Source organism: Homo sapiens, chromosome 5, assembly GCF_000001405.40.
Source record: "Homo sapiens chromosome 5, GRCh38.p14 Primary Assembly".
NCBI lineage: Eukaryota > Metazoa > Chordata > Mammalia > Primates > Hominidae > Homo > Homo sapiens.
Genome location: NC_000005.10, coordinates 61,070,412 through 61,086,835, shown reverse-complemented (window position 1 = coordinate 61,086,835; position 16,424 = coordinate 61,070,412). Strand labels below are relative to the sequence as shown.

Genomic DNA, 16,424 nt, shown 5'->3' with positions numbered 1-16,424 from the left:
TGTATTTTCCTTTGCTCTAATAAATCTGTTAAAAATAAGAATCTGTAAAATTTTGGTGAAGTCCAATTTATCATTTTTTTTAAGTTTGTGTTTTAGGGTCCTATTTAATAGTTTTTGACTACTCATAATTGAAAGATTTTTGTTCATCTTTTTCTTCTAAAAGTTTATTAGTTTTAGCTTTATATTTAGGTCTGTGATAAATCCCAAGTTAAATTTCTTGGAGGATTATATAAGGTAATGTTCAAGGTTTATATTTTTTCCATATGGAAATTCAGTTATTCAACACAAGCTATTGAAAAGAATTTTCCTTGCTATTGAAAAATCAATTGACCATATAAGTGTGAGAAAATTCCTGGATATTCAGGTTGGTTCCATTAATTGTATAATTATCCTTACATCAGTACCAAACCACCTTGATAAATGTAGATTTATATTAAGTTAAATTCTCCAATCTTGTTCTTTCTCCAAAAAAGTTTTGAGTATTCTAGGTTCTCTGTATTTTAATACAAAATTTAAAATCAGCATATCAATTCCAAAAAGGCTGTTAGTATTTTGATTGGAGGGCAATGAATTTACAGATCAATTTGAAGGGAAATACTGTCTTTTAAATATTAACTCTTCTGATCTATGAAAATTGTACATCTCTCTATTTAAGTCTTCTTTAATTTTTCTCAGCAATATTTCATATTTTTCTTTTCTTCCTTTCTTTTTTTTTAAGAGATAGGATCTTGCTGTGTCACGCAGGCTGGAGAGCTGTGGAATGATTGCAGCTCACTATAACCTCAAACTTCTGGGCTCAAGTGATTCTCCCATCTCAGGCTCTTGAGTAGGCTGGAAAGACTACAGGTGCACACCACCACACCTGGCTAAAGTGCTTACTTTTTGTAGAGACAAGGTGTCACTATGTTGCCCAGGTTGGACTGCAAGTCCTGGCCTCAAGTGATCCTCCCACTTTAGCCTCCCAAAGTACTAGGATTATAGCCATGAGCCACCTCACCCGGCTGATATTTTATGTTTTTCAATGTAAAGGTCTTGGATATATTTTTGTAAATTTATCCCTAAATCTTCAAGTTTTTAATAGTATTTGAAGTAATATAATTTAAATTTTTACTTAGAAATTGTTTGGTATTATTATGTAGACATATAATTGATTTTATATTCCCCTGTATCTTGAAAAGTTACAAAATTCACTTAATTTTTACGTACTTTTTGTAGACTGTCTACATGTAATCATGTCATCTGTTTCTTATCTGTATTCATTTCATTTATTTTTATTGCTTTATTGCATTGACAAGAATTTCCAAGATGATGTGAAATGTAAATAGTCAAAGAAGATATCCTTGTCTTGTTCCCAATCTTAGGGGGAAAGTGTTCTGCCTTTCACCATTGAATGTGAGGTTAACTGTAGGTTTTTTTCCCCCCTTAATGCCCTTTATCAGGTTGAGGCGCTTCTTTTCTATTTTAAGTTTGTGGAGAGTTTTTAATCATAAATGTATATTGAATTTTGTCAATTCTTTTCTGTACCAACTGGAATTAACTCATGATTTTTCTCCTTTTTGTTATTATGCTGAATATAAATGGATTTTCAAATGTTAAACCAATCTGTATTACTGGGATAAACTCCACATGGTCATGGTATACTGCCCTTTTTATATATTGCTGGATTCAGGTTGCTAATATTTTGTTAGTGATTTCTACATCTATGTTTATGTAGGATACTGGTTTGTAGTATCTCTTTATTGTTTCTGTCAGGTTGATATCAGGTTAAACAGGGCCTAATAAAATGAGTAGAGAAGTATTCCTATCTCCCACATTTCTGGAAAGAATATGTGGCCCATCCTGGTGAATGTTCCATGAGCATATGGAAAAAAATGTGCATTTTACAATTGCTCAGTGGAGTGTCCTATGTCAATTGGGTCATGTTGTCTGATGTAGCTATCTTCTATATATATCATTCTGACAACTTCTGCTTTTTGTGTGGCATTTCTAGACCACTTAAATTTACTGTACCTATTTACATAGGTTTAAATCTACAGATATTTGTATACCTATATTCATAGCAGCACTATTCACAATAATCAAAAGGGGGAAGCAACTCCAGTGTCCATCATTCGATGAATGGATAAACAACATGTGGTATCTATATACAATGGAATATTATTCAGCCCAAAAAAGGAATGAAATTCTGATATATCCTGTAACATGGATGAACCATGAAGACATTATGCTGAGGGAAATAAATCAGCCAGACATAAAAAGGTCAAATACTGTATGATTCAATTTCTATGACGTACTTAGAGTAGTCAGATTCATAGGGACAAAAAGTAGAATGGTGGTTGCCAAAGACTGGGAGAAAGGAGGAAATGGAGAGTTGTTTTTCAATGGGCATGAAGTTTCAGTTTGGGAAGATGAAAAAAGTTCTGGCGATGAATGCTGCTGATAGTTGCAAACAGTGAATGTACCTACAGCCACTGAACTGTATACTTAAAAATGGCTAAAATGGAAATTTTTATGTTATGTATACTTTACCACAATGAAAAGGGAGGATAATTTAAAAATAAAATCAATCAATGTAATAAATCATATTAACAGAATGAAAAAAAATAATCATAAAAATAATCTCAATAAATGAAGAAAATACATTTGACAAAATCCAACAGCATTCATGATAAAAATGCCCAGCAACCGAGGAATAGAAGACAGCTTTTTAATCTGACAGCAGGCATCTAAAAAACCTTACAGCTAATATCATACCTAACAGTGAAAAACTGAATGCTTTCCTGCTAAGATCAAGAACAAGGCAAAGTTGTTCACTTTTACCAGTTCTACTCATCATTATTGTGGAGGTTCCTTGCCAGTGCAGTAAGGCAAGAAAAAACAAAGGCTTACGCATGAGAATAGAAGAAACAGAAGGAAAAGATTGTTTATGCAGACAACCACAAGAAGTTTACAGTAAAGATGATACAATTGATAAGTGAGTTTAACAATATCACTTAAAAGTACACAGTTGATATACAAAATCAATTGTATTTCTATGTATTACCAATGAATAATTTGAAATTAAAATAGAAAACAACTAGCAATAGCACCAAAAAAATCAAGAAACACTTAGGTATTAGTTTAATAAAACATGTGCAAGATCTATAGTTGAAAACTACAGGCCGGAGGGGTGGCTCACACCTGTAATCCCAGCACTTTTGGGAGGCCGAGGTGGGCAGATCACTTGAGGTCAGGATCTCAACATGGTGAAAGGATGGCCAGCATGGTCAGGATGGCCAACATGGTGAAATCCCATCTCCACTAAAAATAGAAAATTAGCCAGACATGATGGTGTGTGCTTGTAATCCAGCTACTCATGAGGCTGAGGCAGGAGAATTGCTTGAACCCAGGAGGCAGAGTTTGCAGTAAGCAACAAAAATAAACAATGGGGAATGAAAACTCTATTCAATAAATGGTGCTGGGATAACTGGCTAGCCATATATAGACAAATGCAAGTTGACCCCTACCTTTCGCCGTATACAAAAATGAACTCAAGATGGTTTAAAGACTTAAATGTAAGACATCAAAGTATAATATCCAGAATCTGTAAGAAACTTTAATAAATCAAAAAGAAAAAAAAAACAACATTAAAAGTGGGGAAAGGGCATGAACAAACACTTCTCAAAAGATATACACATGGCCAACAAACATGAAAAAATACTCAATATGACTAATCATCTGAGAAATGCAAATCAAAACCACAATGAGATACCATCTTACACCAGTCAGAATGGCTATTATTAAAAGTCAAAAAATAAGAGATGTTGGTGAAGTTGCAAAGAAATGGGAACACTTATACACTGTTGGTGGGACTATAAATTAGTTCAGCCTAAGTGGAAAGCAGTTTGGCGATTCTCAAAGAACTACTAATAAAAATAGAACTATCACTTGACCCAGCAATCCCATTACTGAGTATATATCCAAAGAAAAATAAATCATTCTACCATAAAGACACATGCATTCGCACGGTTATTGCAGCACTATTCACAATAGCAAAAAAGTGGAATCAACTTAGATACCCATCAATTGTAGACTGGATAAAGAAAATGTGGTACATATACACCATGGAATAGTATGCAGCCATAAGAAAGGATGAAGTTATGTCCTTTGCAGCAACATGGATGCATCAGGAGGCCATAATCTGAAGTGAATTAATGCAGAAACAGAAAACCAAATACTGCATGTTCTCCCTAATAAGTGGGAGCTAAATACTGAGTATACATCAACATAAAAATGGGAACAACAGAAACTAGGGAGGGTACCATGTTCACTATTTGGGTGACAGGTTCAGTTGAAGTCCAAACCTCAGAATCATGCAATATATCCATGTAAGAAACATGCACATGGAACCCCTGAATCTAAAATTTAAAAAAGAAAGAAAGAAAAAAGTAAAGTGTACTTATAGGCATGGTGATGTGTGTCTGTAGTCCCAACTTCTTAAGAGGCTGAGGCAGGAGGATTGCTTGAGGCCAGGAGTTTGAGACCAGCCTGAGCCACAGAGCAAGATCCCCATCTCTAAAAAATAAAGTATATATGTACACTCTTGGCTTCTATTTCATCCCCAAGAATGATGAATTTTATTTGCACAATCTCAGGAACTTCATTACAGGTCCTTGTAGCCTAAAGCAGCAGCTCCATCAATCTTACACTCATGCACATTTTTTTTCTCCTGTGAATCGTTGTTTTTATTAAGTGGGTCATTTACTGCTGAGGCTATATCTTCTCTAGTTTATCTTTGCTTTGGGGACTAACAAAAATTAAGAAGTATGGTCTTTCTGTTATAAGAGAAGACATGCTAAAAACATTTGTAACATCCATTTGGCAGTGCAGTGCCCTGCATACTTTGTCCAAATACATGTTCCTTCAGCCATGCTTTCTGCTGGCTTTCCAATAATGTATGCTGATGAAGAAATATATTTTAGTTCCTTGCCAGATTGCTTTTTATTTCTGTTAAAGTTTTTACTACAGACATTTTTATCACAACAGGAAGAACAAATAAATGATTCCCAATGGTATGTAAGTTTTTGCTTTCGCTATTAAGAAACCTCAAAAAAGATTTCAAAACATTTATCATTAAATTTAAAGAAACTTTGGAAAGTCCTGGATTGAATATGACACCAACTTTAAATATCTCTGGAAAAACTATAGAGGTTTGTCTGGGCATTTGATCTTTACATGCTCTGTTACTTGGGATAACTTCATATTATATAACTTAGTATCTCAAGACTAATCTATGCCCAAGGTGACGTTCTTCAGTTAAAGAGATTGGGGCAAATCCACATTTCAAATAGTCTTCTAGATTAAGTCAAATCCTGAGACTGGGAAAAGAGTCAGTTCTGACACTTTTTTGTTGTATCCCTTGCTTGTATCATTATTACTATCCTCATTCAGTAACTTATTTTTCCAAGATGACTATGTTATTCTTTTACAGCTTTATTGAGGTATAACTGATGTACAATAAACTGCACATATTTAAAGTGTAAAAACATTATATGGGCCCTGACTAACCAAGACAAAAATTTTGGGAAAGAAGTTGGCAGACTCAAAATGATTTATTTCAAGACTTGTTACAAAGCCTCAGTAATCAAGACAATCAGCACTAGCAAAAAGATAAATAACTCCATGGATGGAATAGAAAATGCAGAAATAGACACATCCATAGTCAATTGATGTCTGACAAAGGTGCTAAGGCAATTCAATGGAAAAAATAGTGGTCATTTAAAAAAACGGTGCTGGAAAATTAGATTGCCATAAAAAACATGAAACAGATAAAAATGTATCATAGACTTTAATGTAAAACCCAAAACTGTAGAACCCCAAACTTCTAGAAGAAATCACAGGACAAAATATTCTTGACCTCAGGTTAGGCAAAGATTTCTTTCATACAACATTGAAACCATGATATATAAAAGAAAAAAATGATAAACTGGAATTCATTATAATTAAGAATGTATGCTCTTTGAAAGGCACTGTCAAGAGAATGAAAAGACAAGCCAATGAAAAGACAAGCCATAGACTGTGAAAAATATTTGCTAATCACATATCTGATAAAGGACTTATATCTATGATACATAGGAAATTCTCAAAACTAATTTTTTTAATTAAAAAAATTCTGGGCAAAAAGATATAAAAGTACACCAAAGAAGATATACAGATGGCAAATAAGTTCATGAAAAGATGATCTAGGTCATTAGTCATTAGAGACATAAAAATTAAAACCACAATGAGATATCAAAACACACCAATTAGAATGGCTCAAATGTAATGAAACTGACAACAGCAATGGCTGGAGAAGATGATGAACAACTTGAACTCTCATACACTACTAATGGGAATACAAAATGGTAAAGCCACATTGCAAAATATCTTGGCAGTTTTTTATAAAATCAAACTTACACTTAAATACAAAATGGTACAGCCACATTGAAAAATATCTTGGCAGTTTTTTATAAAATCAAATCTATACTTAAAATAAAACCTACCAATCCTGCCCAAGGACTTATTTGAAAGAAAATTTCTGTTCACAGATTTGTACGTGAATGTGTATATGAATTAATATAGCAACTTTACTCATAATTGCTATAAAGTAGAAAGGACTCAAATGTCTTTCAACTAGTTAATGCAAAAAGATATATCAATATGACAGAATTCTAGTCAGCAATAAAAAGGAATAAACTTACTGATTCATGCAAGTACACAAACAAATCTCAAATGTATTAAGGTATGTTAAAAAAAAAAGCTGCCTTTTGCTTCTAGTCAAGATGGAGCAACAAGGACAAATTACATAAAACAACAATCTTCAAAACAATGGACATTGAATAATGAAACACAGTGGTCTCAGAGAACGTTAAATAAACGAAGGCTGACCTCACGATCGCCCCAGTTTACTACTTTGAGTTTCGGTTGTGCCCCAGGGAGGGAATCCTGTCAAAATCCAGCAGACTATATAAGTTAAGAAGATGGAGCTGGGAGTCTAGGGAGACCAAGGTCACGCAAGTTCACAGTTCAGAGTACCAGTTGGGTGACAGCTACATAGAGAACAAACCCTAGAGGATTGGCAGAGGGCCCCATCAAGGAAAGAAGTTCTGCAACTTGATAAAGGCATCTATGAGAAAAACCTACAAACAACATATTTAATGGTGAAAGATTGAATGCTAAGGTCAGAAACAATGCAAGAATATTCTCTCTAATCTTTTCTATTCAAGTGTACTGGAGGTTCAACCAAATTGTTCTGGAAGTCCAGAGATTCTGCGTCGCAATGTGAGTTTATTCGAGATACTTCTTGGGTCATGAATCATAGAGCATTAGAGATAGATAGGAGGCTTAAAGGGTTATGAACTCAGCGTTTTAATTTTATAGATGAAAAATAGGAGGTAAATCCCTTTGCCAAAATGACCAAGGTAGTAAATGACCATTGCAGAACATGGATATAACATAAGTCTTGATTCTAGAACAGGGATAGCAACATCCTGGTCTATTATTTTATGAAGCTTACTTTGAAAATTCTTTATAAGGAGTTCCTGTGGCCTGAGAAAGACATGTTGAATAATTATGAACAATTATTAACTTAAAAGCAATAAAAGTGGGTATGACATTTTATACTGAGATATTAATTATTAACAGTGTTAATGATAGACAGGTATGGTCTAATATACCTAAAAAGTAATTTTTATTTCTCTTCTGAGGCATTAATCTTCTATTTTAATGAGTATATGTGATAAGTAAAGCTTAACTGGATCAGGGCCTTTCTGCCTCCTCCAACTATATTCTGCTTTGTATGTATTTTAGGGTTCTCATAAAAAATGTTTATTACTGTTAACACGAAACAAGCTTAAACTTACCAAAAACAAGAAAAATAACAAAAATGAAAGATAAATACAACAATCTGAATTATAGAGAGACAAATATGAGAGCCTCTACATAAGAACTACAAATAATGCCATGAATTAAACTTACAAGGTTCACTGAAACTTTATAACATTGCCCAGTAGTTAGTACTATACTATCTCCCACAGCTGAATCTTGTCCAAGAATCTCCTATTTTTTTTTTTCTTGTGAGACGGGGTCTCACTCTGTCACCCAGACTGGAGTGCAGTGGCGCGATCTCAGCTCACTGCAACCTCTGCCTCTCAGGCTTAAGCAATCCTTCCACCTCAGCCCCCTGAATAGCTGGGAATACCAGTGTGTGCCATCACACTTGGCTAATTTTTTGTATTTTTGGTAGAGATGGCGTTTCACATGTTGTACAGGCTGGTCTAGAACTCCTGGACTCAAGTGACCTGCTTGCCTCAGTCTCCCAAAGTGCTGGGATTACAGGTGTGAGCCAGTGCACCTGATCAAATCTTCTATATGTTTGAAAAAAATTGGTCTGGTCTACTGTTCCATGTCTTTCTTCTTAAAACAGACTATTTTCAGCAAGCCAGCAGACTCCCCAAAATGCCTTTTCCTTAAACATACTTACATAACATACTTTCAGTTTGAAATGCATTCATTCAACAAATGTTGACTGAGCTTATATTTACTTAACTATTGAGCTAGGCCCTGAGAATACAAAAATGAATAAGGTAAGGATCCTATTCTAAAAAATCTTCCAGTTTAGGGCGGAGGATGCAGATAAGTAAACAAGGAACCCCCTATAGTGTGTTAAATGTCATGATTGGAGGAGGTCCAAAGTGAGATAAAAACAAAAAAAAGGAACATCTCACCTATCACTGGGGGTGACGGGCCAGGTCAGAAAAAGCTTACAAAGGGAAGTAATGTCTACTCCAAAACTTGAGTAATAAATAGGAGTTAGCCAAGTTATAAATGATGTAGGCAGTATAATATTGAGTAAAAAATTGGAAGCAGATAATTTGGGTTCAAATCTGGGTTCTAGTTGCTATTGATACTTAGGAACTTACTTAAATCACTCTTCTTCATTAGTAAGAATTAGAAGAGAATTTACACAATTTCTCATTACCACATCTACCCATCTACCTGCATATATGCCCACAGACTCTTTTTCTGCTATCACTATTGATGAATTTTCCAAGCTTTTGTTCAAAGGTCAACTCTTCCCCCTGTTTACTAGGTCCTGCCTCATCTTGTCTTCTCAAGGACTTCCTCTTTCCTGCAATTCTTCTTTCTGACTGGATCTTTCCCATCACTATTACAAAATTCTCTTCTGTCTTTAAAACAAAAGAAAATATTTCTTGACTCCATTTTCCTCTCCAAGTACTGCTTCATCATTCTCCTTTTCTTTACAGATAAACTCCTCATAAACACTGTCTATTCTCAGACTCTCCAAATTCTCTCTTGCTATACTTCTTTTTCTATCATGCATTTGCTCCTACCACTCTACAGAACTATTTTTGTCAGACAAAATAGTTCCTGTATTTAAAGCAGAGTTAATTTTCAGACCTCATTTGACATTTTGATTACTTCTTCCTCCTTGATATTTGGCTTCTAGTACATGACACTTTTTTTTTCTCCTATGTTTCTGGCAGCTCCTTTTTGGTCTCCATTGTCTCTAACTAAACTTTGGAGCAGCCTAAGGGTCAGTGTTTGAATTTCTCATTTTGTATTTACACTCATTCTGTGTGTGATCTCTTCAGTCTCATTGCTTTATACACCATTTATTTGCTGACAACTCCCAAATTTTATCTCCAGTACAGATATGTCCACTAAGTTCTTGGCTCATACACAATTTAACATCTCTACTTGGATGTCTAATAGGCATCTCAAACTTAGCATGTCCAAAATTGATTTCATTTTTCCACCCCTAACTTGCTCCTTTCACTGCACTCCTTTAACTGCACATGTCAGTTAACAGCAACTCCTTTTTCCAGGTGAGGCCAAAACAGCTTAAGAGTAATTACTGTCTGCTTTCCTCTCATGCTCCACATCCAATATGTCATCAAATCCTGTTGGTCCTACTTTTACCACAGATCCGGAATGCAACTTCTTCTTTCCACTCCCACTGTTACTCTGGCCCAAGTCACAATTAATCTCTTGCCTAAATTATTACAAGAGCTTCCTGTCTCCATATTTTGCCTATGTTCCCCTAAGTCTATTTGCAATGCAGCAGCCATAGTGATCCTGTTAAATATACCTCAGAACATATGACTACTCTTTTCAAAACCCTACAATGGCTTCCAGTCTCACAGTAAAAGCCAGAGTCTTTAAAATGGCCTACAAGGCCCCCCAGATTCACAATCCTATTAACTCTCTAACCTTATCTATTAATTTCTCTCTCATTCTATCCCAATCACACTGACTTCCTTGCTGTTTTTCAAACATCTGAGCATGTTCCTGCCTCAGGGCTTTTGTACTTGCTCTCCAGTAATGCTCTTCAGCTGGTTAGCTGCATGACTAGCTCCTTCTGTTTTTATTCAGAAGTCATTTCAGTAAAGCCTTTTCTGAACACTATTTAAAACTGCAAAACGGCCGGGCGCGGTGGCTCACGCCTGTAATCCCAGCACTTTGGGAGGCAGAGGCGGGCAGATCACGAGGTCAGGAGATGGCGACCATCCTAGCTAACATGGTGAAACCCTCTCTCTACTAAAAATACAAAAACAAAATTAGCCGGGCGTGGTGGCGGGCACCTGTAGTCCCAGCTACTCAGGAGGCTGAGGCGGGAGAATGGCGTGAACTTGGGAGGTGGAGCCTGCAGTGAGCCAAGATCGCGCCACTGCACTCCAGCCTGGGCAAAGAGCGAGACTCCATCTTAAAAAACAAACAAAAAAACTGCAAAACCTTCCCCAACACTCCCTATGCCCTTTCCCTGCTTTATTTTCTGTGGCCATTAACATACAATATAGTCTAGTTATTTATCTGGTGTATTGTCTTTCTCCCACCCTAGAAAATAAGCTCTATGAATGTAGAGGTCCTTAATAGATACCTACTAAATAAACGAAGAAAAAGGGCACATTGTTTAATCTACATTGTGGGAGAATATGCAACTTGCAGGTCCCAGTAAAATTGACAAATACAATATTCATCTGAACCTGAAAATACTTAATTTACTTTTTCATGGTGCTGAGTTATTTTTCACATTTAATTGATGTGTACCACCATAAAAATAATTTTTGTTTAGTGTTTGATTGATACATTTGTTTTAAACATATGTCCCATGGGAGAGTTATGCCAAATTACTAGATCAGGACAGCCATAAAAAGATTAGAACTTCATTCAAACTCTCTGAAAGTCTCAAAGGCTGAAAAATGAGTCATTACGTACTCATTTATTTATAACATTTCTATAAACATCTTAATTCTATACTATTATTGGAAAAAATGATAAAAACAAACTCATTCTAAGAAGGTGCACGCATTATCCAAGAATTGTAAATGTAGTTTATAACACTGGAGAGTCTGCTAAAATAAGAAAGCTCAATTACCCCTCCTAGAAGTTGCCAATTTATATTCTGTATTTCTTCAAAAAACCTTTGGTATCTACTTATTTTTATGGTTTTTTTTTTCCTCATAGTTCTAGTAGTAAGCAGAAATGGAAAAATATTTTTACTGAAATGATGTTTACATTCACATGCTGGCATAAAAGTAACATAATGCCTATAGCTACCACATGTAAGGTATCATGCTATGCCAACCAAGAAGCAATGAGTCTACTGTTTACCCACGTATGAAGCTATATAACCCAGGTAAATTAACTAACCTTTTTAGGCCTTAGGTGCTCCATCTATTAAATGGGTGATATGGTTTGGTTCTGTGTCCCTACTCAAATCTCATTTCTAATTGTAATCCCCTTGTGTCGAAGGAGGGAGGTGACTAGATCATGGGGGCGGTTTCCCCATGCTGTTCTTGTGAAGTGAGTGAGTTCTCATGAGATCTGATGGCTTTATAAGTATTTGGAAGTTCCTCCTTCATTATTCTCTCTCCCGCTGCCACGCAAAGAAGGTGCTTGCCTCCCCTTCGCCTTCTGCCATGATTGTAAATTTCCTGAGGCCTCCCCAGCTATGCGGAGCTGTGAGTCAATTAAACCTTTTTCCTTTATAAATTACCCAGTTTCAGGTATTTCTTTTCTTTTCTTTTCTTTTTTGAGACGGAGTTTCGCTCTTGTTGCCCAAGCCAGAGTGCAATGGCGCAATCTCAGCTCACTGCAACCTCTGCCTCCCGGGTTCAAGCGATTCTCCTGCCTCAGCCTCCCGAGTAGCTGGGATTACAGGCCTGTGCCACCACGACTGGCTAATTTTTTGAATTTTTTGTTATTTTCTGAGATGGAGTCTCACTCTGTCACCAGGCTGGAGTGCAGTGGCGTGATCTTGGCTCACTGCAACCTCTGCCCCCCGGGTTCAAGTGATTCTCCTGCCTCAGCCTCCCGAGTAGCTGGGACTACAGGCACGTGCCACCATGCCCAGCTAATTTTTGTATTTTTAGTAGAGACGGGGTTTCACCATGTTGGCCAGGATGATCTTAATCTCTTGACCTCATGATCCACCCGCCTTGGCCTCCCAAAGTGCTGGGATTACAGGCATGAGCCACCACACCTGGCCTAATTTTTTATATTTTCAGTAGAAACGGGGTTTCACCATGTTAGCCAGGCTGGTCTTGAACTCCTGGCCTCAGATGATCCGCCCACTTCGACCTCCCGAAGTGCTGGGATTACAGGCGTGAGTCACCACTCCCGGCCTCAGGTATTCAATACATATTGATTAACTACCTACTAGGTGCCTTACAATGTGCCAGGCACTATGCTAGGAACTGGTAAGCAAAAAACAGAAATACATAACATGGTTATGAGGTGCCATTTTGAACTCAGTCTTGCAGATGAACTTCATTCAGAGAGAAACTGAACTGGGAACCAGAAAGCTGTTGGAAAACTAGGAAATATTCTCTCTATGTACTTCTCATTGTGAACTAGTTTCCGTTTTCTTCTCAGTAAATCAGCTTTTTCTGCAATATTAGCTTTTCTAAAATCAATTAGCTTTTTATGCAATAAAACTTTGATGGTAGACTGAAGGTGACCACTTACAAGCTACTAAGTTCATATGTTACTGTTAGAGCCACACTGAGAGACCAACTGCTGCTGTTTGTCTCCCTTTGATCTTTTATTTTAACTTCAAAGTCTTAGGAAAGGGATCGAGCATCCATCCTTGTCTTAACAGGCAGTCAGTTATCATAGAGTTATTGTGAGTTGAAAAAATACTCCAAATGGTATCTACAGCAAGTATTATGCATAATTTATAAAAGAAAAAACTAAAAGTTTAAGTTACTTTGCAAGTTCATGTGTGTAATGAGTGCCAGAAACAGGATTCAAATCCTAGGATTGTGCAAGTGCTGGGTCACTACATGAAAGTGAGTGCCTGCTTAAATTTTGCATCTTAGGATTTTGGCTTGCCTCACCTTAGTCTCAGCTCTGATAATGCTTAATAGTTCTTTTTGCTATACATGCATCTGCTTACTAAAATTCAGCACCTTCACAACTTTCAAAGAAATGCAATGTTAAAAAAACAAAGTTTCAAACATTCAGACACTAAAACTTTTTTGCAAAGAGAAACAGTATATAACTATATATGCTCTTATTGAATTTGTATACTGTTATATAACTTACCTCCCATGAGATTCTACTAAAAGCAGAAACTTACCTTCCCATTCTGTTGGAATATCCCCTGCTTCATAGTCTACTTCTTTTTTATTTGCTGCTTCTACAATTCTTTTCTCTCGAATAGTTTGTCCTATAAGACAAAAGTCATTAATACATTTTTAAATGAACCTATGATACAGTAGTTCTACAATTAATCTTTGAATATTGCATAACCCCTTATATAGTAAAAGAATTAAATTAACAGGAAAACGAGAATAGATTTCCATTTTGAATTAGGTATATTACAAAAGGCAAATTCTAAACTACTGTAAAAATTTATAATTATTTACCACAGCCTACAAAAATTAAAGGTAGGCCAGCCGCAGTGGCTCACGCCTGTAATCCCAGCACTTTGGGAGGCCGAGGTGGGTGGATCGCCTGAGCTCAGGAGTTCAAGATCAACCTGGGCAACATGGTGAAACCCCATCTCTACTAAAATACAAAAAATTAGCCAGGCATGGTGGCACACACCTGTAGTCCCAGCTACTCTACTCAGGAGGCTAAAGCACGAGAATCACTTGAGCCCGGGAGGCAGAGGCTGCAGTGAACCGAGATCGAGCCACTGCACTCCAGCTTGGGCTACAGAGTGAGACTCCATCTCAAAAAATAAATAAATAAATAGATAAATAAATAAATCTAGATTTAATGTACAGAAAAAGAGCAACCAATTAATCCTATAGAGCACTAATGGCCAATAAAAAATATTTTAATAATCAACAGCAAGTTCAACTTCTTCTGACTTACATGTATATATCTTAGAGGAAGCAATGGCTGCTGCAATCACCCAAGAAAATCGATATTCATTGCTGTTACTAAGTATGTAATGGACCACAAGACCCTGCAGCCACCCTCTCCCTAATACACTGGCAAACCCAAGGGAGCCAAGCCATGGGTTGAATTCTGTGGCCCATCTGAATCACTTCCTCTTAAGAGAATTTAACAAAACTGGTCATTGGTTTGGTTATGGCTATGGTAGACTGATGGTGACCACTTACAAGCTACTAAGTTCGTATGTTACTGTTAGAGCCACATTGAGAGACCAGCTGCTGCTGTTTTGTCTCCCTTTGATCTTTTATCATAATTTCAAAGTCTATGGTTCTTCAGATGAGAGATTAATATCTGGAGTGGAATAGTAGCAATGCAGAAACATGAAACAGAGAGAACAGTAAAGTAAAAGTTGGTGAGAAGTCAAGAATGGAATGAGAATGCCTAATGCTTATATTTCTCAATAAAAGTTGATTAGTGCATATTTTAAGTTTATACAGAAGGCATAAAACTAATTGTTATTTTCTTCTGTTTTCAGAAAGTCTTCATTATATCTTTCAAAGCAGCTTTATCAAAATGGTTGCTTCAAAACATGTTTCTTTCTCACTGAACCTTTGAGCCTGGGGAAACCAGGTAGGCTTTCTACTTCCTACTATTTAACAAGTGTGCCTGCCTACTCCAGGGAATGTGAGCTGAGACAGAGAAGTCATTAGTGAGGAATGATAAAGGGAGCAGCATGGCTTAACAGTGATCAGACCAGTCAGGGAGAGAAATTTGGACCTTACAAAATACTCCTTTCTCTTACCACTCCTAAGCCAATCTTACACTATGCTAAATATACTGACTTACATAATTAAAGAAATTAACCTTGATGCCTGCAAATCTCTCTCCTACACTACCTGATATTCTATTAGCTGTAAATTCATTTAAGTGTGGACAGGAAACTCCTGGGAGTGACTGTGCAGGAGAAAGGACGACATAAAAGGAAAGCCTAAGAAAGCTGAATGGCTGGTTTTATTTCTTCCATCTTAGTAATATTAAGTGAAAGGCTGGGAGTTCATAGACAACCCATTAATGGCTAATAAATCTTAAGTATGTGGTCAGGAAGTTCTGCATTTCATTATGAAGTCATTTAATCAGGCTGATTTAATCCTAACGCAGAGGTTCCCCAAGTTCTACAAAGAGGAGTTACCTTTTGCTTATCTTACCCAATAAATTTACAGTAGGACAAGGGACTGATACTAAAAGTGGTAGGAACAAGGATTAGGGTACAAGGAGCATATAACAATGACAACTGCATTTCTCTCACAGTAGAGGTTCAATATATGTACATGTATGTTTACTAAAATGCTATTTACATTCACATATATAAATACATCATAACAAGTTACTATAAATTTAGTATTTATAATTTAGCATATATTAAAGTAAGCTTATGTGACAATTTTCAAAATGTGTTAGTCAAATACCGATGTCTTCATGTAGTCCTTATCTAATTACCAAAATGTAAGAATGTTTTTTGGAGTAATAGTTATAGAAAGGAAAACTATTGTCTAAAATAAAAATGCAAATACATGGGATCCTCAAAGTACATGTATGGTCTATAAGTTTTTAAATGTACATCCATAAAGTTTAGCACATGGGGAGAGGATAGACAGGTCTATCGTTCTCAGTAGCACTACTAAATGCATATATACTACAGGCATATCTGCAACAAAAAAAATAACTTTCTATTCCTACTCTTAGGTCGATCAACTTCATGTAAGGTCTCCCAAGGATTTAAAAAATCAAAAGTTATGCCTATTTGTGTGTATGTGAGTGCGTGTGTGTGTGTGTGTGTGTGTGTGTGTGTGTATGCAAAGACAGGAAGAGTAATTAATGAGCTAGTTTAATTTCAGGACAATCACTGAATAAACCTTTATTTAGAAATAGTTGAAATAAAGATTTTTTAAAAAAGTATACATCTTTAGTAATATAAAATAAAGCTATTAGCTTATTAAATAAATTCTTTGTAATCAGATATGTTTATCTCCTCAATA

The 16,424-nt window shown here is 36.1% G+C and overlaps 1 protein-coding gene across 1 annotated transcript in view; it reads right to left on the bottom strand.

Moving 5' to 3' along the window:
• The window catches only part of NDUFAF2 (NADH:ubiquinone oxidoreductase complex assembly factor 2), a 207,822-nt gene that overhangs the window by 66,191 nt on the left and 125,207 nt on the right, over positions 1-16,424 (bottom strand). The window contains exon 2 of the mRNA NM_174889.5: positions 13,622-13,711. Coding sequence (NP_777549.1) covers positions 13,622-13,711 — 90 coding nt within the window. The remainder of the gene's footprint in view (positions 1-13,621; positions 13,712-16,424) is intronic.